The sequence below is a fragment of the Homo sapiens genome, chromosome 1 (assembly GCF_000001405.40).
Source record: "Homo sapiens chromosome 1, GRCh38.p14 Primary Assembly".
Classification (NCBI taxonomy): Eukaryota; Metazoa; Chordata; class Mammalia; order Primates; family Hominidae; genus Homo; species Homo sapiens.
In genome coordinates this window covers 51,695,506-51,719,695 of record NC_000001.11, presented here as the reverse complement: position 1 = coordinate 51,719,695, position 24,190 = coordinate 51,695,506, and the positions used below count along the sequence as shown (strand labels likewise).

General features: G+C 40.0%; 1 protein-coding gene and 2 pseudogenes across 11 annotated transcripts in view; 1 reads left to right on the top strand and 2 right to left on the bottom strand.

Moving 5' to 3' along the window:
* OSBPL9 (oxysterol binding protein like 9) overlaps window positions 1-24,190 on the bottom strand; it is a 270,948-nt gene that overhangs the window by 69,524 nt on the left and 177,234 nt on the right. For all 11 annotated transcript variants that reach the window (NR_036662.2, NM_001416294.1, NM_001416293.1 and 8 more), the window contains one exon: window positions 5,617-5,693. Coding sequence is in view for 8 of the 11 variants with exons in the window: in NM_001416294.1 (NP_001403223.1) it covers window positions 5,617-5,693 (77 nt within the window). In the remaining 3 variants the exon portion in view is untranslated. The remainder of the gene's footprint in view (window positions 1-5,616; window positions 5,694-24,190) is intronic.
* Window positions 9,757-10,613, bottom strand: SLC25A6P3 (solute carrier family 25 member 6 pseudogene 3; annotated as a pseudogene).
* GAPDHP51 (glyceraldehyde 3 phosphate dehydrogenase pseudogene 51) lies at window positions 11,550-12,558 on the top strand (annotated as a pseudogene).

Here is a 24,190-nt window from a genome sequence, read left to right as displayed (position 1 = left end):
TATATTGGCATTCACAGCCTGCAAGAGTTTTTTCTAAAATGGGCCCCAATTTACTCAAGTTTATAAAACTGATTTTTATACCTGTATGACATCCAGACAAGCTGCTATAACTCATATTTTTTACAATATAGGAAACTATAAAACCTACAGGATGTAACATCCTGAGTCTTCTTGTGATGATCAATCCCTTACTTGATAATCTCTCAGCATTTAGTTTGTACTAAAGCTTACTAGGGTTAAAAAAAAAAAAGAATCTGAAAAGTTCCCCTCTATTAATCAGTATCATCAGATATCTACTGAATGCCTCTTACTGGTTAAGAAAGAGAGGATTAAGAAGCACAGCACGCCCTCTGGTCTCCCCTTCAAGGAACTTCCTCTTTGGCTGAATGTAAAGACATGAAAAGATACCATAAGCTGACATACAACAAATTTAGAATGACTACTGGAATTCAGCTTCCATAAGAGCCGAAAGGATGAAGAAGATCTTAGTTATCTTCTGTCACCTTCAGTCTATCCTAATTACAATTTGCTTTGGGGAGGAAAGAGAAGACAAGCTTAGTCTTAGCCATGCTGAAGTGGAATTCCAGGGAGACATCTAACTGGCAAAATCCAAAAGGAAAAAAAGTGAGACTAAAGCTACATATCAAAAGAGATATAAAGATTAGGGGGAAAAAGAGTCATCTTACAGAAGGTTTAGCTGAATCCATGAAAACGGTGGGGGCTGCTGAAGGGTGATGGAATTAGGTCACAATCTGCAAGAAAACATCCTGTGGTCAAGGTAATGTATGTAGTGTTAACCTTGGGAAAGAGCAAGAATATGTTTTCTTCGAAATATTCAAAGCAGAGAAATAAAGTACAGGTGAAGTCACTAAGAACTGTTGAAGAAGAAAGCCTTCATTTATGAAGAAGGGAACAGGCTATAATTCGATACTGATTACAATGAAAACAGTCTACTGTGAGGATTCAATTGGAAACCAACAAGAAGTCAGTAAGATGACTACTAAATCGTAACAGATACCCAGTTAAAGTCAGACAAAAATTGTGATAGATACAACCATCTTGCTTTTGTGACCTCTAACAGTTCTAGAAGCAGAAAAATCAGACAACGGGGGCCCTGGGGAATGAAGACCAGAATGGTATACAGACGAACTATCCAATGACAAGAAATTCTAAAGGTGATAGCAAAAACAATATATAAATTTTTAAATTTTTGTGGGTACATAGTAGGTATATATATTTTTGGAGTATAAATATTTTGATATAGGCATGAAATAAGTAATAATCACATCAGGGTAAATAGGTATCCATCACCTCAAGCATTTATCTTTTGTGTTACAATCTAATTATACTCTTCTAGTTATTTTTAAATGTATAATTACTGTTGACTATAGTCACCCTGTTGTGTTATCAAGTAGATCTTATTCGTTCTCATTTTTTTGTACCCATTAACCATCCCCACTCCCCCTACACTTATACGCCCAACCACCCTTCCAGCCTCTGGTAACCATAATTCTATTCTCTAGCTCCATGAGTTCGATTGTTTTAATTTTTAGCTCCCACAAATAAGTGAGAACATGTGAAGTTTGTGCCTGTCTTATTTCACTTAACATCATGACCTCCAGTTCTATTCAAGACAGGATTGCAAATGACAGGATTTCATTCTTTTTCACAGCTGAATAGTATTCCATTGTGTTTATATACCATGTTTTCTTTATCCATTCATCTGTTGGACACCTGGGTTGCTTCCAAATCTTGGCTATTGTGAATAGTGCTGCAATAAACCTGGGTGTGCAGGTATCTCTTCCGTATATTGATTGCCTTTCTTTTGGATATATACCTAGCAGTGGGATTGCTGGATTATATGGTAGCTCTATTTTTAGTTTTTTGAGGAACCTTCAAACTGTTCTCCACAGTGGCTGTACTAATTTACATTCCTACTAATAGTGTATGTGGGTTCCCTTTACTCCACATCCTCACCAGTACTTTGTTATTGCCTGTCTTTTGGAAAAAAAAAAAAAAAGCCATTTTAACTGGGGTGAAATGATATCTCATTGTAGTTTTGGTCTGCATTTCTCTGATGATCAATGATGTTAGGCACCTTTTCATATACCTCCTTGCCATTTGTATGTCTTCTAACAAAACCAGTGATAAAGCAGCAGACCAGAAGGTCTCCACTGGGAAATGGGATGAGCAAAACAAGAAAGTACTAAATGGCCAGGAAAAACAGAGAAGTAGGGGTCAGATCAAAATGAGAGAATAAAAGTTCAGAAGTAAAGTGATAGAGGAAGATGAAGAAAAGAAAACTGTTGTCAAAGAAAACGCTTTTTAACTTAATATTTTGCAGGTGGTTCAGCTCTTAGTAATGACAAGACCAATGGAGTGGAGTTTAATGGCTAAAGTAGATAAAGTTCAATGAAAAAGGAAAACATGGCTGGGAATGGTGGCTCATGCCTATAATCTCAGCACTCTCAGAGGCCAAAGTGGGCAGATGGCTTGAGCCCAGGAGTTCGAGACCAGCCTGGCCAACATGGCAAAACCGCATCTCTACAAAAAAATACAAAAATTAGCCAGGCGTGGTGGTGCATGCCTGTAGTCCCAGCTACTCAGGAGGTTGAGGTGGGAGGATCACTTGAGCAGGGGAGGCAGAGGTTGCAGTGAGCTGTGATTGTGCCACTGCAATGAGTGAGACTCTGTCAAAAAAAAAAAGGACATATAAATACAATGAGGTCAAGAATTAGACTGGGAAGCACTATTATGTAGTAGGAGCTTCCTCATCTATAAACTGAAGTGGGTGGGGGGAGTTTTGTGAGAATTTTTTTTTAAAAAAAGCAAAAGAAGAGAACCTAACATGGCAGTAGATACTAGGATATGTTTTAAAGGTAGGTTGCTGAGATCACTGCGTCTCCTCTCCTATACCCCTTTGGAAGACAGCTCCGTGAGTGCCCATCCCACAGTGCCTAACAGACAGTATGTTATACATCTCAAAATATTCAATAAACAACAATGGAAAAGCAATCTCTACATCAACCATTTGTTCATTCATTCCTTCAGTTATTTCTTCATTTAACTAACATTTACTGAGTGCTACTGAATACCAGGCACTGGCAGAGGGAATGGTAGGAACAGTAGTTGCATTGTAATGGCAACTAACATTTACCAAGTTTTTACTATAGCCAGGCATTATTTCAACCAGTTCTCATCCAATATTAGTTTATCAAGTTCTAGCAAGTTTACGTTAGTTTATTTAACCACTAAAACAACTCTATGAAGTAGGTACTCTTATTATCCTCATTTTATAGATGAGGCCACTGAAACTCAGAGACAGTAAGTTGAATGTTAATGGTTAAATGTAAGTGGTGGGCTCTGGGATACAAACACAGACATTCTGGCTCTAGAGTGAAGTTCTTTACCACACTTCACTACATCTGAGAAAATAATCTTTTGCCAGTCAAATGAACATTAATTCCATATTTCTAAATGTCCTATCTTCTCCATGCATTAAATGTAGGAAAAAAACCTCTTGTATTACATGTACTTTTAAATATCAAAGCTATTAGAAGTCTAAGACTTCTCAAAGTTATCTTTTTCTGCCCATTATTCCCAAAGACATACAAGCTCTCTTCTTAGCAAAAGCTGAAAAATTCCAATATTGGATCTAGTTAGGAACCTGAACTTATGATGTCAACATCAGCTGATAACAAATAAACAAGAAGAATATGATAAGGAGATAGTGAATTGTGCAAATACTATAGTATTCAAAGGAAAGAGATCATTTTGAACTTGGGGGACTGGGGAAGGAAAGGCCAGTCGGCAGAGGGTTCATAGAAGAGGTCAGTTCTAAACTAGGCTTTGAAAAAAAGGGTAGAAGACATTTCACAGAGAAAGGACATCACACACAAGAATGTGGAGGCCACAAATGAAAAAATGTATTTGAAGGAAAGCAAGTAAGCAATAGCACTCTAGGTTTATGTAGGGGTATAGTGGCAGAAATGCCTACAAGGGCAGGTGGCTCTTGTTGAATGTTGAATGTCAGTCTAACCAACAATGGGGGGGCGGGAAATCTCATCTGCCACATTCAGTCTAATATGATCACTAAAACACTTATCCTCCCCTCTTAGGCCAGGTGTGGTGGCTGAGGCAGGAGAATTGCTAGAACGCACGGGGTGGAGGTTGCAGTGAGCCGAGACAAACCACATCTAACTAGATTTACTTTCTGGGGTACAAAGTGAGACTCTGTCTCAAAAAAACAAAAAACAAACAAACAAACAAAAAACACTTATCCTCCTCTTACAGGATCACAAATTTGCTAAAATGATGCTATAGTCATTTATGAAACTGCCTAAATTTAAAAGAAATCTACAGGAATTACAAATTGCTTTTAAAAGGCATAACTCACAGAGTAGCTTAAAGATTTCCTACTTCAATTTCATATTCATTTCTTAAAGTCCCCTAATAACCACATCCTTTAATAATGTTTTTTAAGCCTCTACTGAATACTTTCAAGTGATGGGGGGTTTACTATCTTGTAGGGCCTAAGATACCCTATGTCACCTTATCTAATCAAGTCAATTCCTGATATAGAACAAAGTACAGAGAAAGGGTTATAAAACATGTTTTCTACAATTAAATTTTCTAAATTAAAACAAAATCCCCTATGTACCACAAATATAAGCTCTTTCACTGGAGAATAAACATAGAAAAATATCTTCAGTGTAGTACGGCAGACGTTAGTTGCATGTCACCCAACATCTGTTTTTCCCTATTCTGACTTTGGTGCGGGTCGGGTTGGGTAGGATGAACACACCTTCTACCCTATCAGCAATGTGTTTCTAGTGAGGCCAGTAACATCCCAGCTCCAGGGTAGAATCTATGACTGTGAAATTGTGACTGGTCAGGATTTGACACATGGCCAAAGCTAGGGTGATGAGCAATAATTGTGTTACTCCTATTAAGGTCTAGAAAGAATAGCCTCCTATGGACTCGGTTCCAAAAATGGGAGGCTGACATTGCTACAACCACCTTACCACCACCAAGGGAGAACCTAACCGAAAATGAAGCCAATGCAAAAGTGGAACGTAGAAATAGAGATGGGAGATCTGAGTCCTCATGACATGAATTACCTAATTCAAACCACATCTAACCAGATTTACTTTCTTCTTCATGAATCAGTTTGGGTTGAGTTTTCTTTCACTACCATACAAAAGAGTACTAACTGACACATACGGTAATAGCCAAATCCTTTAACAAGAAAATGAGGTGAACTTCTCAGTATTTACCTATTATCATGCATAATTATGTAATTTGGTTGTATTGATAACTGACTACAGATATTAAATTCTTAAAATAAATCTGGCATATTTTAACATAGAATTTCACTTTCAACATTGTCTTGCACTGTCTTGTTTCTAGACAAAAATCAGTATTTTACTCTGCAGAAAGCAGGAGAAAATAAATGAGTATAACTTTACTATAACTGTAAAGGAAAAATAAGCAACTCAGAAATTATAAGTTCCTATTACATCATACCACAGTTATTTAAAAAAAAAAAACAGAAAACAGACAAAAAAAGAAAGCAACAACTAATGAACTATCTGGAAACCATGTAAAGACCCTTACTTGAAGCTGGAGAGTATGTCGAAGAATTGTTTCTTCTAAGGCATGGATCCACTTCTCTCGCTCATCAGCATCACGGGCTGGAATAAAAGATTATACATTAAAATTAAAAGTTTAATTCTATAATATATCTCCATATTTGAAAATATCATTTTAAAACTATGATGGCTAACAGAAAAGGTTTTTAGTTGTACCATTTCCTTAATAGGTTCAGCTTGATCTATTAATATTTTTTACAGATATGCAATCTACTTGCAACAATTTATAAGAAAGGGAATAATTGTGTTCAATAATAGCAGGCTACATAGTTCAGACCAACCTTCCCACTGAGAACAACTAGAAAAGCTAGACTGATTTTTAAAAAACAACTGGTTGAAGGCATCACAAACCAACAAGGTAATAAAGAATTACCAAGCCAAGATCTGGGAGAAGACAAAAAATTTAGAAGATAAACCTTGTATTTAGGGACACTTCTCATGGAGGCATTGCAAATTCCAGGAGAGGAATTGCAGACCGGACAATGCACTTAAAAGCTTGTCAGTGTGTGGCGGAAGCTGGTATATGAGAACTCTACTTTCTGTTCAATTTTGCTGTGAACCTAAAACTTCTTTAATTTAAGAACAAAAAAAAACTGGCTGGGTGCAGTGGCTCATGACTGTAATCCCGGCATTTTGGGAGGCTGAGGCGGGCGGATCACCTGAGGTCAAGAGTTCAAGACCAGCCTGGCCAACATGGTAAAACCCCATCTCTACTAAAAATACAAAAATTAGCCAGGCATGGTGGCGGGTCCCTGTAATCCCAGTAACTCAGGAGGCTGAGGCAGGAGAATCACTTGAACCCGGGAGGCGGAGGTTGCAGCGAGCCAAGATCGTGCCACTGCACTCCAGCCTGGGCAACAGAGGGCGACTCTGTCTCAAAATAAATAAATAAAATAAAATAAAATAAAAAAACAAAAAAAACCAACCACACAAGCCTTTTCAGGCCAGAAGTTGGAAGCCAGGGCCCACCAACAATGGGAGCTCTGGTAAACAGTCCATGTTCTAGTTGGGACCCCAAACAACTTCTCTGTGGGAGTAGTGATAAACTAGAATTAAAACAATTGCTTGGTCATATGGGTGGCCCAGAAAAATCTTGATGCCTGAAATTGATTTAAATGATCACAGATTTTTAGTGACGCCAGGCATCTACTAGCAAAAGCAAATGAAAATCTTTTCTGTAGGAAGATAACATCATCTTAGCTGCTAAATTAAATTTACATAAACAATTTTTAAAATACAATGTCTAGCACATAAGCAAAGATAACCAAGTACACATAAATGGAGACACTTTTGGAGACAAAACCACACATAAATGAGAACCAAAAGACAACAGAAACAGATCAACAGGAGCTCCAGATTATTGCATAAATGACATAATTTTTTCCTTTTTTATTTTTAGGGTTTTTTTCCACTTAGATTTATAAAATAATCAAATCAAATATAAATTCCAAAAGTGACAAATAATCAAAATTAAGAATTTAATAGATGAGTTCAACAGCAGATTAAGTACAACCAAAGAGACAATTACAGAACTGGGAGCAGTTAGAAGAAACCCATGAGAACAAAAGACAGTAAGTCAAAGAGATAGAAAATATAGAAGTAGCTCTCCCTCTCCCTCTCCCTCTCCCTCTCCCCACGGTCTCCCTCTCTTTCCACGGTCTCCCTCTCATGTGGAGCCGAAGCTGGACTGTACTGCTGCCATCTCGGCTCACTGCAACCTCCCTGCCTGATTCTCCTGCCTCAGCCTGCCGAGTGCCTGCGATTGCAGGCGCGCGCCGCCACGCCTGACTGGTTTTGGTGGAGACGGGGTTTCGCTGTGTTGGCCGGGCCGGTCTCCAGCCCCTAACCGCGAGTGATCCGCCAGCCTCGGCCTCCCGAGGTGCCGGGATTGCAGACGGAGTCTCGTTCACTCAGTGCTCAATGGTGCCCAGGCTGGAGTGCAGTGGCGTGATCTCGGCTCGCTACAACCTACACCTCCCAGCCGCCTGCCTTGGCCTCCCAAAGTGCCGAGATTGCAGCCTCTGCCCGGCCACCACCCCGTCTGGGAAGTGAGGAGTGTCTCTGCCTGGCCGCCCATCGTCTGGGATGTGAGGAGCCCCTCTGCCTGGCTGCCTAGTCTGGAAAGTGAGGAGCATCTCTGCCCGGCCGCCATCCCATCTAGGAAGTGAGGAGCGCCTCTTCCCGGCCACCATCACATCTAGGAAGTGAGGAGCGTCTCTGCCCCGCCGCCCATCATCTGAGATGTGGGGAGCGCCTCTGCCCCGCCGCCCCATCTGGGATGTGAGGAGCGCCTCTGCCCGGCCGTGACCCCGTCTGGGAGGTGAGGAGCATCTCTGCCCGGCCGCCCCGTCTGAGAAGTGAGGAGACCCTCTGCCTGGCAACCACCCCGTCTGAGAAGTGAGGAGCCCCTCCGCCCAGCAGCTGCCCCGTCTGAGAAGTGAGGAGCCTCTCCGCCCGGCAGCCACCCCATCTGGGAAGTGAGGAGCATCTCCGCCCGGCAGCCACCCCGTCCGGGAGGGAGGTGGGGGGTCAGCCCCCCGCCCGGCCAGCCGCCCCGTCCGGGAGGGAGGTGGGGGGGTCAGCCCCCCGCCCGGCCAGCCGCCCCGTCCAGGAGGTGAGGGGCGCCTCTACCCGGCCGCCCCTACTGGGAAGTAAAGAGCCCCTCTGCCCGGCCAGCCGCCTAGTCCGGGAGGGAGGTGGGGGGGTCAGCCCCCTGCCCGGCCAGCCGCCCCGTCCGGGAGGTGAGGGGCACCTCTGCCCGGCCGCCCCTACTGGGAAGTGAGGAGCCCCTCTGCCCGGCCACCACCCCGTCTGGGAGGTGTGCCCAGCAGCTCATTGAGAACGGGCCAGGATGACGATGGCGGCTTTGTGGAATAGAAAGGGGGGAAAGGTGGGGAAAAGATTGAGAAATCGGATGGTTGCCGTGTCTGTGTGGAAAGAAGTAGACATGGGAGACTTTTCATTTTGTTCTGCTCTAAGAAAAATTCTTCTGCCTTGGGAAAAAAAAAAAAAGAAAATATAGAAGTAAGGGTAAGCAATACAGCGTATGAGAAAATGTAACACACATGTGATTGGAACCCCAGAAGAAGACAAAAGAGAGCATGGCACGGAAGCACTGTCCGGCTGAGAATTTTCCAAAACTGATTAAAGACATTCAGAAGTCCTAGGAATCCCAAGCAAGATAAATCAAAGAAATCCACAAGTTGGGCACATCTCAGTAAAAATACTGCAAACCAAAGATATAGGAAATATCTTTAAAACAGCCAGGGAGAAAAAAGGACAGGTTACTTTCAAAGAAACAACAATTAAATTCAGGTAGGCTCTCAAAAGAAACAATGAGAACCAGGAGACAATAGAGTACGACATTTAATGGCTAAAAGAGAGTAACTGTCAATTTAGAATTCACTGAAATATATCCTTTATGAATTAAGATGAAATAAACTCATTTTCAGACTGACAAAACCAGAATCTGCTATCGGCAGATGCTCATTAAATAAAATTCTAAAAAGTATTCTTTTCTAGGCATAAACAATGCCTGATGGAAGGTGGTAGGAGCTGCACAGAATGAAGAGCAACAGAAATTATAAGTATGTGGCTAAAACTAAATATTCTCTACATACAATCATAATATTTAATAATATCTTATGGGGGTTTTTTCTGGCTCTCAGTGTCCTGTTTTTATTGTTTTGCAGCAGCACACCTAACACAGAACATAATTACAAATACTCACTGTGCAAAAGAAGAGCTAGTGCTTAAGTACAAATGGGAAATACAATTCCTTTTATTTAAATAAATACTTAAACACAACTCAGGTCCTATAAGCATCTGGACTCTAGGTCTGAGCTGGAGTTGCCTCGCCTGTGTGCTCACAATGACGTCATGATTTTCCCACCCCCAGTAATCAATACATGGAATCAGGTGCCAAAGGGGAATGTGATCACAATGAACCCCTTTTCTAGAGCCTACCTCAGCCCTCTACAGACATGATCTCTGGCCAGGACAAAGATGACCAGAATTTCTTGAAGGTCCATAATCTACAATAGTTAAGTATTCTACATGATTCTCTGGGTTGCCATTTCTATGGAGGAGACATATGCACTTAGGTGACTTTCTTCAGCTCATAATACAGGCCCAGACTTGGCCCCATGCCTGTGAGGATGTTGGACCATGCATCCTTGAAGGAGGCTTCGCCCCTTCATTTTAGGAGAGCTTCTGCCAACAATCAAGGGCACCCGTGTTCGTAATATCACCTCCTTTGCACCTGGACTGCATCACCATCCGCCCGCACTGTGAGGAGTAGGTAGGAGGCCACATGGGCCACTGTCATGGCCTGGCAATCATCCAGCTCACCATGTGGTGGGTGTTCTTGGGGTCAGGGAGCATGCCCTTGGCTGTATCATACACGCTGAGGTAGGTTGCCCAGTACATATGGATGCCCTGCACCGAGATGCTGAAGCCCTGGGACAGGCCTCGGATCCCATCAGCCTTGATCTTCTCCAGGCAGTCTGCCAGGCCTTTGAGCTCCCACTATATGCCCAATTTCCCAACGTTGGCTGCCAGGCAGGTTCTGGCAAATTCCAGGGGATAGAAGAAGCACAGGGAGATGGCCCCAGCCGCCCCTCAGGAAGCCAGGTTGCCTGCAAAATATCTCCAGAACTGTGCATGCTTATGCACGCCTCCCAGAAGGACCTGCTTGTACTTATCCCTAAAGGCAAAGTTGAGGGCTTGCATGGGGAAGCAGTGGATGGTGCTGGCCAGGTGCCCCTCCAGAAGGACAAGTGCCCTGCTCCTTGGGGATGTGGACCTTGCAGCCCACCACACCACGCCTTTGTACGGTGTCGCCACAATCTGCTTACTGGCATGTTGCACCTGCAGCAGTGCCTTGACTGGCTCAACTCGGGTCGCTGCCCTCTTGGAAATAGCGAGGGCAATGCCTCCGGCCAGTAAGTCCTTGACAAAGGAGTGTGGCCTGTTCCATCCTGCTGGCCAGCGGGCAGCGGAGGGAGGGAGGGAGCTGCTTGCTCAGCTCTGCTGCTGCTGGGACCAAAAGGCTCTCATGGGATTTTAAATAAATATATGCAAAATTAAACTGCATATAGATTGTATATACAAAACAACTGCATATAGATTGGAAAAGGGAAAATGGAATAAAAAGTTTTAAGTTTCTTACATTGTTTGGGAAGAAGATAAAATTATCAATGATTTTGATAACTGAAGGATTCATGTTATAATATCTAAAATAATCACTAAAAGAAAAGCTTTTTAAGTGTTTAACTTCTAAAATTAAAAAATCCAATAATAAAGATAATCCAAAAATTGACAAGAAAGGAGAAAAAAGAAATCGAATATACGAGACTGAAAGAAAGCATACAGTAAGATGGCAAATGTTTAAGCCTAAAAAATCAATAATTAAATGTGAGTGAAGTAAACGTGCTAATTAAAATACAAAGGCTTTAAGATTTGTAAAAGTATATGATGCTTACAAGTGACACGTTACATCACTTGCATTAATCAATAAAGCAAGCAGATGAAACATTAATAAGGACATAGAAGATTTAAACAGTCTGATGAATAAACTTGATTCAATGAACATATACAGAATGCTGAATACAACAAATGTAAAACAGATATTCTTTTTAAGCAGAACACAGAATATTTCTAAAAACTGACCAAATATTGGACCCTAAAACAAGTCTCAACAAATATCAAAGGACTGAAATCATATATTCTCTAACCATAGTGGAAATTTAAGCTAGAAACCAGTAAAAAAAAAAAAAAAAGAAAAAGAAAAAAAAAGGATAAATTAGAAAATACTAGGGTTTTTGATGCTCTCTGCTCCTCTCATTTGACAGACAGCCGCCCCTTCTCATGCACCACCAGCCGTGTCCCTGAGACACCATGGTGAAAATGAAGGCTGGAATAAACGGATTTGGCTGTATTAGGCACCTGGTCACCAGGGCTTCTTTTAACTCTGGCAAAGCAGGTATTGTTGTCATCAGTGACCCCTTCTTTGACCTCAACTACATGGTCTACATGTTCCAGTATGACTCCACCCATGGCAAGTTCCATGGCAGCATCAAGGCTGAGAATGGGAAGCTTGTCATCAAGGGAAATCCCATCACCATCTTCCAGGAGTGAGATCCCACCAAAATCAAATGGGGGTGACACTGGTGCTGACTATGTTGTTGGGTCCATCAACAACTTCACTACCATGGAGAAGGCTGGGACTCACTTAGAGGGGAGAGCCAAAAGGGTCTTCATCTCTGTCCTTTCTGCTGACACCCCCATGTTTGTGATGGACATGAACCATGAGAAGTAAGAAAATAGCCTCGAGATCCTCAGTAATGCCTCCTGCACCACCAATTGATCACTGCACCCCCATCCAAGGTCATCCATGACAACTCTGGCATTGTGGAGGGACTCATAACCACACTCCATGCCATCACTGCCACCCAGAAGATGTGGGTAGATGGTACCTCTGGGAAACTGTGGCATGACGACCATGAGGCTCTCAAGAACATCATCCCTGCATCTACTGGTGCTGCCAAGGTTGTAGGCAAGGTCATCCCCAAACTGAATGGGAAGATCACTGGCATGGTCTTCCAAGTCCCCACCACCTACATGTCAGATCTGATCTGCCATCCAGAAAACCCTGCCAAATACGATGACATTAAGAAGGTATTGAAGCAGGCACCAGAGGGCCCCCTAAAGGGCATCCTGAGCTATACTGAACACCCGGGTGTCTCCTCCGACTTTAAGTGAGAACCACTCTTCCACCTTCCATGATGGGGCCACCACTGCCCTCAATGACCACTTTGTCAGGCTCAATTCCTGGTATGACAATGAAAATGAATCTGGCTACACCAACAGGGTGGTGGACCTCATGGTCCACATGGCCTCCAAGGAGTAAGTGCCCAGGACCACCAGCTCCAGCAAGAGCACTAACTAAAGGACAAGAGAGGACCTCAGCTGCTGGGGAATACCTGCTGCACTCAAATCTAACAGAATAAACAGACATGCAAAAATCTCTTCTTGACACAGTTTCCATGCCAGACCCCCTGAAGAGGGAGGGGCCTGGAAGGCCCCACCTTGTCATGTACCATCAATAAAGTCCCCTGTATGCAGCCAAAAGGAGAATGAAAGAAAGAAAAATAAAACAAAATACTGAGATGTTTTGGAATTTTTAAAAATAAATACTTCTAAATAATCCATAGGTCAGGAAAAAATATCTGCACTAGAAATTAGAAAACATGTAGAACTGAATAAATGAAAATATGATATATGGATTCATTGGATACAGTTAAAGTAGTGCATAAAGGGAAATTTGTAGCCTTAAATGCATATATATATATATAAATTCATATATATATTAAATGCATATATATATAAAAGCAAAAAGGCTGAAAACAACAAGAAGTTCAAAATGAGTAGAAAAGGAATTGATAAAGAACATAAATTAATGAGATAGAGGGCAAACATTCAATAGATAGGTCACTAAAGCCTAAGTTGGTTACCTAAAAATAACTAATGAAATTGATCAACCTCTAACAAAAATGACAGGAGGAGGAAGGGACGAAGACAACACAAACATGATGGCACAGATCATTAATGCCATGAATAAGAAAGAGGACATCACAACTGATGCACATACTCATAACTCCCTGACTATAAAACTGAAAATTTTAATTAAGTGGAAAATATTATTTAAGGAAATACAATTTACCAAAACTACCACAATAACAACTTTAAAAACCTAGATAGTGCTATAACTATTAGGTTGGGCCACAGGAAAGTACCCTTTTGGTAGGTCAAAAACACTCTAATATTAAAATAATTGAAAATCATCTCATAAAGAAAAATCCAAGCCTAGAAGCCTTCACCAGAGAATTCTTAAGGAATAATGCCAATCTCTAATACAAAATCTTCCAGATAATGGAAAAAGAGTGAACACTCCACAACTCTTTTTTAAGGCCAGCATAACTTTGACACCAATCTGACAAGACTGTTATTAGAGAAAAATTATAGGCAAATCTAACAGAATAAACAGACATGCAAAAATCCTATATAAAAACAGTACAACAGAATAGCACAATCTATATACTGATGCATGACTCTTTCCTCTCCCAGTGGAATGTACTAAGAATAAAATGTGAAATGAATGAATGACCATGACCTTAAAAAATTAATAGATCATGTCCAAGTTGTGTTTATTTTAGAAATACAAAGTTGGTTGAATATGTGAAAAAAAATCGATCAACATCTAACAATACAAAAATATATATGGAACAAGGTTATTTACTATAGCATTTTTTGTAACTTTAAAATATTGGGGCCAGGCGTGGTGGCTCACGCCTGTAATCCCAGCACTTTGGGAGGCTGAGGCCAGCGGATCACCTGAGGTCGGGAGTTCCAGATGAGCCTGACCAACATGGAGAAACCCCAACTCTACTAAAAATACAAAATTAGCTGGGTGTGGTGGCATATGCCTGTAATCCCAGCTACTCTCGGGAGGCTGAGGCAGGAGAATCGCTTGAACCAGGGAGGCAGAGGTTGTGGTGAGCTGAGATCACGCCATTGCACTCCAGCCTGGGCAACAAGAGCGAAACTCCGTCTCAAAAAAAAAAAAAAAAAAAAAAAAAAAAAAATATATATATATATATATATATATGAAACACCCTAAATACTCATACAGAGGAGAATGGTTGAATAAATCAAGGAATACTATGCAGGTATCAAAAAGAATAAAAGCCAGTTGCAGCAGCACACGCCTGCAGCCCCAGGAGATGGGAGGCTCACTTGAGCCCAAGAGTTCGAAACCAACCTGGACAATACAGTGAGACCCCATCTCTTAAAAAAACAGGAATGAGGAAGATTTCTTTAGTGATTTGGAGTGATTTTCAGACATACCATCAAATAAAAGATTTTTAAAAAGTGAAGTGTGTCTTTACTATAAGAAAAAAGGAATATCAGAAAACATACAAGTATTTTCTTATTTGTGCAAAAGAAATATAAAGCTTCTAAAGAAAACTAAATAAATTGGTTACCTTACAAGCCACAGGTGAGAAAGGATGGGAAGCCAGGAAGAATAGGAACAAATTAGTAAGAATTAAGGAGGTAGCAACACTCTGAATATATCTTTTTGCATATATTCAGCCTCTCAGAACCATAATATTTCACATAATTGAACCTCAGTGCCATGGAGTGAATGTTTGTGTTGCCCCAAAATTCCTATGTTGAAATCCTAACCTTCAATGTCATAGTATTAGGAGGTGAGACCTGCGGGAGATAATTAGGTCATGAAGGTAGAACCCTCTTTAATGTGACGAGGCACCTCAGAGCTGTCTCACTCTCCTTCCAACACATGAGGATATAAGGACAAGAAGTTGACTGTGCAACCTGGAAGAAAGCTTTCACCAGAACCTGACCATGCTGGCATCCTGATCTAAACTTCCAGCCTCCAGAACTGTGAGGAAATAAATGTTTGCTGTTTAAGCTACGTAATCTATGGTAATTTGTTATAGCAGCCCAAACTAACTAAAACATGAAGTAACTTTGAAAAATCACCACCGATCCCACAGAAATACAAACTACCATCAGAGAATACTATAAACACCTCTACGCAAATAAACTAGAAAATCTAGAAGAAATGGATAAATTCCTCGACACATACACCCTCCCAGGACTAAACCAGGAAGAAGTTGAATCTCTGAATAGACCGACCAATAACAGGCTCTGAAATTGAGGCAATAATTAATAGCTTACCAACCAAAAAAAGCCCAGGACCAGATGGATTCACAGCCGAATTCTACCAGAGGTACAAGGAGGAGCTGGTACCATTCCTTCTGAAACTATTCCAATCAATAGAAAAAGAGGGAATCCTCCCTAACTCATTTTATGAGGCCAGCATCATCCTGATACCAAAGCCTGGCAGAGACACAACAAAAAGAGAGAATTTTAGACCAATATCCCTGATGAACATCCATGCAAAAATCCTCAATAAAATACTGGCAAACTGAATCCAGCAGCACATCAGAAAGCTTATCTACCATGATCAAGTGGGCTTCATCCCTGGGATGCAAGGCTGGTTCAACATATGCAAATCAATAAACGTAATCCAGCATATAAACAGAACCAACGACAAAAACCACATGATTATCTCAATAGATGCAGAAAAGGCCTTTGACAAAATTCAACAACCCTTCATGCTAAAAACTCTCAATAAATTAGGTGTTGATGGGAAGTATCTCAAAATAGTAAGATCTATGACAAACCCACAGCCAATATCATACTGAATGGGCAAAAACTGGAAGCATTCCCTTTGAAAACTGGCACAAGACAGGGATGCCCTCTCTCACCACTCCTATTCAACATAGTGTTGGAAGTTCTGGCCAGGGCAATCAGGCAGGAGAAGGAAATAAAGGTCTTCAATTAGGAAGAGAAGAAGTCAAATTGTCCCTTGACTTGATACATGATTGTGTATCTAGAAGACCCCATTGTCTCAGCCCAAAATCTCCTTAAGCTGATAAGCAACTTCAGCAAAGTCTCAGAATACAAAATCAATGTGCAAAAATCACAAGCATTCTTATACACCAATAACAGACAAACAAAGAGCCAAATCATGTGTGAACTCCCATTCACAACTGCTTCAAAGAGAATAAAATACCTAGGAATCCAACTTACAAGGGACATGAAGGACCTCTTCAAGGAGAACTACAAACCACTGCTCAATGAAATAAAAGAGGATACAAAGAAATGGAAGAACATTCCATGCTCATGGGTAGGAAGAATCAATATCGTGAAAATGGCCACACTGCCCAAGGTAATTTATAGATTCAATGCCATCTCCATCAAGCTACCAATGACTTTCTTCACAGAATTGGAAAAAACTACTTTAAAGTTCATATGGAACCAAAAAAGAGCCCACATTGCCAAGTCAATCCTAAGCAAAAAGAACAAACCTAGAGGCATCAAGCTACCTGACTTCAAACTATACTACATGGCTACAGTAACCAAAACAGCATGGTACTGGTACCAAAACAGAGATAGACCAATGGAACAGAACAGAGCCCTCAGAAATAATGCCACACATCTACAACTAACTGATCTTTGACAAAGCTGACAAAAACAAGAAATGGGGAAAGCATTCCCTATTTAATAAATGGTGCTGGGAAAACTAGCTAGCCATATGTAGAAAGCTGAAACTGGATCCCTTCCTTACACCTTATACAAAAATTAATTCAAGATGGATTAAAGACTTAAATGTTAGACCTAAAACCATAAAAACCACAGAAGAAAACCTAGGCAATACCATTCAGGACATAGGCATGGCAAGGACTTCATGTCTAAAACACCAAAAGCAATGGCAACAAAAGCCAAAATTGACAAATGGGATCTAATTAAATTAAAGAGCTTCAGCACAGCAAAAGAAACTACCATCAGACTGAACAGGCAACCTACAGAATGGGAGAAAAATTTTGCAATCTACTCATCTGACAAAGGGCTAATATCCAGAATCTACAATGAACTCAAACAAATTTACAAGAAAAAAACAACCCCATCAACAAGTGGGCAAAGGATATGAACAGACACTTCTCAAAAGAAGACATTTATGCAGCCAACAGACACGTGAAAAAATGCTCATCATCACTGGCCATCAGAGAAATGCAAATCAAAACCACAATGAGATACCATCTCACACCAGTTAGAATGGCGATCATTAAAAAGTCAGGAAACAACAGGTGCTGGAGAGGATGTGGAGAAATAGAAACACTTTTACACTGTTGGTGGGACTGTAAACTAGTTCAACCATTGTGGAAGTCAGTGTGGCAATTCCTCAGGGATCTAGAACTAGAAATACCATTTGACCCAGCAATCCCATTACTGGGTATATACCCTAAGGATTATAAATCATGCTGCTATAAAGACACATGCACACGTATGTTTACTGTGGCACTATTCACAATAGCAAAGACTTGGAACCAACCCAAATGTCCAACAACGATAGACTGGATTAAGAAAATGTGGCACATATACACCATGGAATACTATGCAGCCATAAAAAATGATGAGTTCATGTCCTTTGTAGGGACATGGATCAAGCTGGAAACCATCATTCTCAGCAAACTATCGCAAGGACAAAAAACGAAACACCGCATGTTCTCACTCATAGGTGGGAATTGAACAACGAGAACACATGGACACAGGAAGGGGAACATCACACACTGGGGCCTGTTGTGGGGTGGGCAGAGCGGGGAGGGATAGCATTAGGATATATACCTAATGTTAAATGATGAGTTAATGGGTGCAGTACACCAACATGGCACATGTATACATATGTAACAAACCTGCACGTTGTGCACATGTACCCTAAAACTTAAAAGTATAAAAAAAAAACAAAAAAAACCAGTATTTTGACTATATAGTGAAAGGATAGGCCAAAAAAAAAGAACCATATACAAATACAATACTCTAGTTAGTAAATTTGATTTTCATAGGAGTACATGTTAGCAATTCTGTAACTACAGACAAGTGAGTATGTTATAGATAATGAGAACCAGGTTTCTTACTATCAGAAAAAAATTAGAAATACAGAAAGGGAGAAGGTTAGAATAAACCTTGTGATGTTGAACTACAATCGGAGGTTTCAGTATGAACTCATGATTTTAGGTAAATAAATTCACAGAGTACTGGACTATAACCCATAGAATATAATAAATATCCACAAGTCCAATATTAATATAAAATAATTGAATAAGTAAATAAGTAGGGGAGATGAGACATCTCTTCCTTTAGAAGAATTACAATGGGCCGGGCGCGGTGGCTCACGCCTGTAATCCCATCACTTTGGGTGGCCGAGGCGGGTGGATCACCTGAGGTCAGGAGTTTGAGACCAGCCTGGCCAATATGGTGAAACCTCGTCTCTACTAAAAATACAAAAATTAGTCAGGCGTGGTGGTGGGTGCCTGTAATCTCAGCTACTTGGGAGGCTGAGGCAGAAGAATTGCTGGAACTGGGGAGGCAGAGGTTGCAGTGAGCCGAGATTGTGCCATTGCACTCCAGTCCAGGTGACAACAGGGAGACTCCATCTCAAAAAAAAAAAATTACAATGAATAAGTGTAGAAGGACTGACAAAAGTTAAAAATCACCATTAGACCAACACCACAGCAATAATTACATCAGGCAAGATCCACTAATGGCTAAAATCAATGGGCAAAAGTGAGAAGAAACAGGAAATTGGCATAGATTCAAAGTATCTCCCACAAGAGAATAAAGTATCTCCCCCAAATGAATAAATAATAATTTTACAATGGAAAAATCTGGTACACTATCTTAATCAAGTGATCAAGGTTAACATCACCAGTTAATAAGATTAATTGACATCCTATACCTCTGAATACAATCCACTGAGACAAGGAAACAACAGCATCATGTTTGTGGTATTCTTGCCAAAAATACATAATTGCAATCGAATCATGAGAACATATCAGATAAATCCAAAATGAGAGACATTCTACAAAATAACTGACCAATACTCATAAAAAATGTCAAGGTCATGAAAGATAAAAAACAAATAAAGAACTATTACAACTAAAAGCAATGTGGCATCCTGGATTGAATCCTGGAACAGAAAAGGAGCATTAGAGGGAAAATTCAAATGAGCTCTGTAGTTTAGTTAAAAGTACTGTACCAAATGGGTGGGAGATCTGGCTCAGGACATTAGAGCCTGAGTAGGGTGAAGAGGGCATGCATCATGTAAAGGCACAACCTAGCACAGGGCATGAGAGCCCAAAGCAAGAGGAAGAGGGAAGCTATACAATGGGAAAGTCCAATATGAGGAGTCAGAACCCAAGAAAAAGAAGGAAGGTGTCCACATTGCAGTGAACAGGCTCCGCATGGCACAAGGTTTCCAAGGCTGAATGGAGTGATGGTGACATTTACAAAAGGACATGGATGATTGGAAAATAATTACATACAGAAGGATTGATCAAATAAGTAAATACAACAAAGATAAAGTTTTTCTCACTTTTGGAAAACGGAGTTAAATATGGTAAGGGAAAAAACAGAATTATTTCTGTTGTGATAGACTGTAACTGGAGGTATCAGCATGACCTCATCATGGTTTTCGATATACATGTAGATAAATACATATGGAAATAAATATGAACATGGATGTACACATGTGTAGACACAAGCACACCCCTATGTATGTAACATTCATGTTTCTTAGCTCTATGTACATAACATTCATATGTTTCTTAGCTCTCTAGAGGGCCTGGGAGCCATAACACTTTATAAGCAGTAACTACACCTAGCACTGGGTGTTGATTTCTAAATATCATTAGAAATCAGCACTCCCTGGAAAAATGGTTGATTCCAGAACTAGGACAGAGAAGGTATAAAATGAGCCTGGAATGTCTTTTTGTGCCAGAAAGTAAGGAAATACTTAAAGAATGACAGGGGCATGTTAAAAGGACACAGAGGTCAGCTTAAATAGGATTCCTCTGGTCAAATTGAGGACAATTTGAGCATCAAAATAAATAAAGACATTTGTGTTTGTAAAGGCGAACTCAGGGAAAGCTTCTGAGGCAAGGAAATTAAAGCTGAGTTTTAAAACTGAGTAGAAATTAGAGGCAAAGGTATGTGAGTGTATATGTGTGTGTCTGGGTGAGAGGGAGAGAGAGAGAAAGAAAAAAGTGGGGGTATGTGGAGAAGGAGAGGGGCACTGACAGGGAAGACATTCCAGGTAAAAAAGACAGACTAAGCAAACGAGGGCAAATTAGTATACTATACAAAAAAAGAGGGAAAATTACTATACAGGAGCAGGAGCAGGACTAATGTATACATGTAGCTTTGCTACTTCTTTCTAGTGTTGACTTTAATAAGCCACTTGCATTGTCTGAATATGTATTTTTGTGCTGTTTTATGATAGTCTCAAAAAAATGAATATTCATTTTGCACCTTAAAATTGGAAGTTGAACTGAATTCTCCCTTCCAGCTGAAAATTCAAGAGTCAATATTATTCTGACCAATCTAATCTACCTTCTCCCATTCTCCTAGCATGTCAGTAAACAAACCTCTACTCTAATGGATCTAATAGAAAAAAGGGCTTTGTGTCTATGAAGCACCAGAGATGTCTGGTTATTATTCAATCACAACAAATTGTTCATATGAGAAATAAAAATACAGTAATGATATACACAATTCAAAACCACCTGCAGAGCCAACTCTCTAGAAGTAAAATTAAAGCTATACTAATTCTGAGTGAATCCTGCAAAGGGTCTAACTTAATGAGCTAGTTAAAACAACTTTGAGTACTACAGTATTTTATCAAATATATAAAGTTAACTCCTCTTCCCTTTTTTAAATAATGTTATTTGTACATTCAGCTTATCTCTAGACTTTCTTCTCTAGCAGCTACCACTGCTATTCATTATATTTTCCAGCTTGCTTTCCATCCTCTAAGCCAGTGGGCTCCAAATTTTGTTTGACTGCGACCCACAATAAGAAGTACATTTGATAACTTCAGCCAGTTCATACATACATATGCACACATATGTGTACATATGTGTACATACACATATACATATAAACTGGAACATTCGTTTCATAAAAGAGTGCTTGCTCTTATTATATGCCATACACATTGATATTTTTCTGTCTGTTGTAATTCATTTTTTTAAAATGCTGATTTGGGCCCACTAAATAGACCTTTATAATCCATTAATGGACTGCAATCCAGTTCAGAAAACACTACTCTAAGCCACCCCAATGTCCCACAAAGCTGTTGCTTTTTAGTATCTCTTAAGCTGCACAGTGTAAAGGCCAAGAGGGCTGACTCTTGGGTCCAAATCCTCGTCTGATACCTAGCTTTGACCTTATTCATTCTGACCTTGGGCAAGATACTTAAATTCTCTAAGCTTTACTTTTCTCATCTATAATCTAAGGATGATAATATTACCTATGGGGATGGTAACAGTACCTCGGCCTTATAAGGTTGTGAGATTTAAATGAGATAATCTGTACAATATTTACCACGATGCCTGACATACATGAAAATACCAATATGTTATTATTATCACATGTTCTATCAATCCAACAGAGAAAACTAGTTCTACTAATCCAGAGAACAATTTGCCAGAGAAAATTAGTAGAGAGGAGATTACTGGTAACTCCTAATTCTCAATAATGCCTGGTTTATATGGAAACAATATAAGGTGCACAGAGGAAAACAGTATTTATCTAGTATGTAGAATACATTTTCAGGATTTTATCATCTTTGCTCATTTATTACATATCTAATCACATTTTCTATATTATACACATTTGAATAAGAATATGAAGTTATTCAAAAGATTTCACTCTTCCAGCGTAACTCACACAACCTAAACTACAAGAAGTAGCTTTTAGGACAACTTTCTAAAACTCCTATACCTTACCATTCCTGATCCACTGCTTAGGAATCTGTCCTCCTAAAGTCATATCTTCTCCTTTAAGACACAAACAACTGTGAATATATTACTGCCTGTATACAAAATAAAGTGGTTATTTGCCTGTTCTGCAATTTAAGTAAAAAAAAAAAAAAAAAAAAAAAGTAACCCCTATAATCAGGAAGGCCTCCTTTTCTCTGAAAGTTATTGTGAAATAAAAACATTACACAAAAACCACATTTACAAGATTAACTGCTGAGACACTGCTCAGGTAGCTACTGAGCCCCAATATGCACGGGGTACTATGTTTGGTATATGAGCAAGGATAAAACAATTCATGATCTCAAGTAATTAAGTCTCCTGAAAAGTACAATAACTTGGGTGGGTAGTATATCGTTTGGTGAGGTATTATCTTCACGCTTTTTTCTTTTTTCTTTCTTTTTTTTTTCTTTTTTTGAGAAATACGGTCTCACTCTGTTGCCCAGGCTGGAGAGCAGTGGCATGATCATAGCTTATTACAACCTCAAATTCCTCAGCTCAGGCGATCCTCCTGCTTCAATCTCCCAAGTAGTTAGGACCACAGGCACAAGCCACTACGCCCAGCTAATTTTTTATTCTTTTAGAGATGGGTGTGGGGCTGGGTCTTGCTATGTTGCTCAGCTGGTCTTGAACTCTTGGCCTCAAGGGATCCTCCTGCCTAAGCCTCCCAAGCAGCTGGGATTATAGGCATGAGCCTATATCCCAACTATCTTCACCCATTCTATCAGCCTCTGTCAACTAAGCAAAAAAGATAAAAATAAAAAATAAAAAAAAACGGGACAGGGGAGCTTTTAAAGAATTAAAGTTAGTTTTATTTAGAAGTCTTACTGAGGACTGTTACCTAGGAGAGTCTTTTAGAGAATTTTTGTTAGACTGTTTCAAAGTAGGGTTTTAGACACAGTTTATAAATTGGTGGTGGCAGTTTTGTATGTGCTTGTAAGTTATAGTAGAGCAAAATCTCATTAAAGTTTGGGTGTAAGGGCATATCTGGTTATATATTACGGAGGCATAATCACTAATCTTGTTGGACATTATCTTACGTGCAGAAAGAGGCAACGACTAGAATCACTGAACTTGCCTTTTCTAAAAATGCAGTGATTTAAGCTGGAGATGTGGGAAACTGTGTTCTATCTTATTTATTGTCTTTAGGGCTTTTTGTTGTTGTTGTTGTTGTTGTTTTTAGAGGACTGTGCTCAGTCACTGAGTCAGGGCCTTTGTGAAATTTTGTTGGCAAGGGATTTTGTGAAATTCTGGCAAGTAGAACAAGCAAACATCAAACATTCTCATTTTCTTAAATTTGCTGCTTTGTCTCACACCTCTAATATCTTTGCTTACTAGAATTCTATTCACTCTTCTGGGCTACGCTACAATGTCACTTTCTCCACCTATGTTGCTCATGGTGAGAGCAGCTGCTCTCTCCTTCCTTAAATTTATTCAAATATTCCAATGCTCAGGCAATATATAAATACATACACCATGTACCAGTCATTGTCTTAGGCATTAGGGACACAAATTGGATCAACAGTTTAGAGCTCTAGTCCAGCAATAATCAGCGTCCAAATCTACCTTCCCGGTTTTACTTTCCCACATACTCTTCCATGAACCACTACATTCTGTTAGATTGTATGTACTGTTCACATGACACGATTCTCTGCTTTTGCTCAAGTTGTTCCCTCAGCTGGAATGCCTGAGCCCCATCTCTAACTGTAAATAATAAAAGCTAAACCTATTGAGCATTTAATTTGTGTCAGCACGGTTCTAAGCATATAACATGTATTAACTAAATTTTCACAACAACTACATGAGATAGGTATTATTATTATCCTTATTTTCTAGAATAAGGAAACAGAAAAGTTTAGTATTTCACAACGACATAGCACCTAAAAAGCAGCAATGAGAATGGAATCTCTAGGCTTCAGACACCCCTAGTTCCGTTAAATAAACTCACCCCATCCCATTCTGTTTTCGCTGAACAAAGTTCTTCTTAAGGAATAACAATATAAACTTTTCCACAGTTTGGAGATATTATAGCAAACAGAAAGAATGAACGACAGAAACTCTGGTCAGGAAACT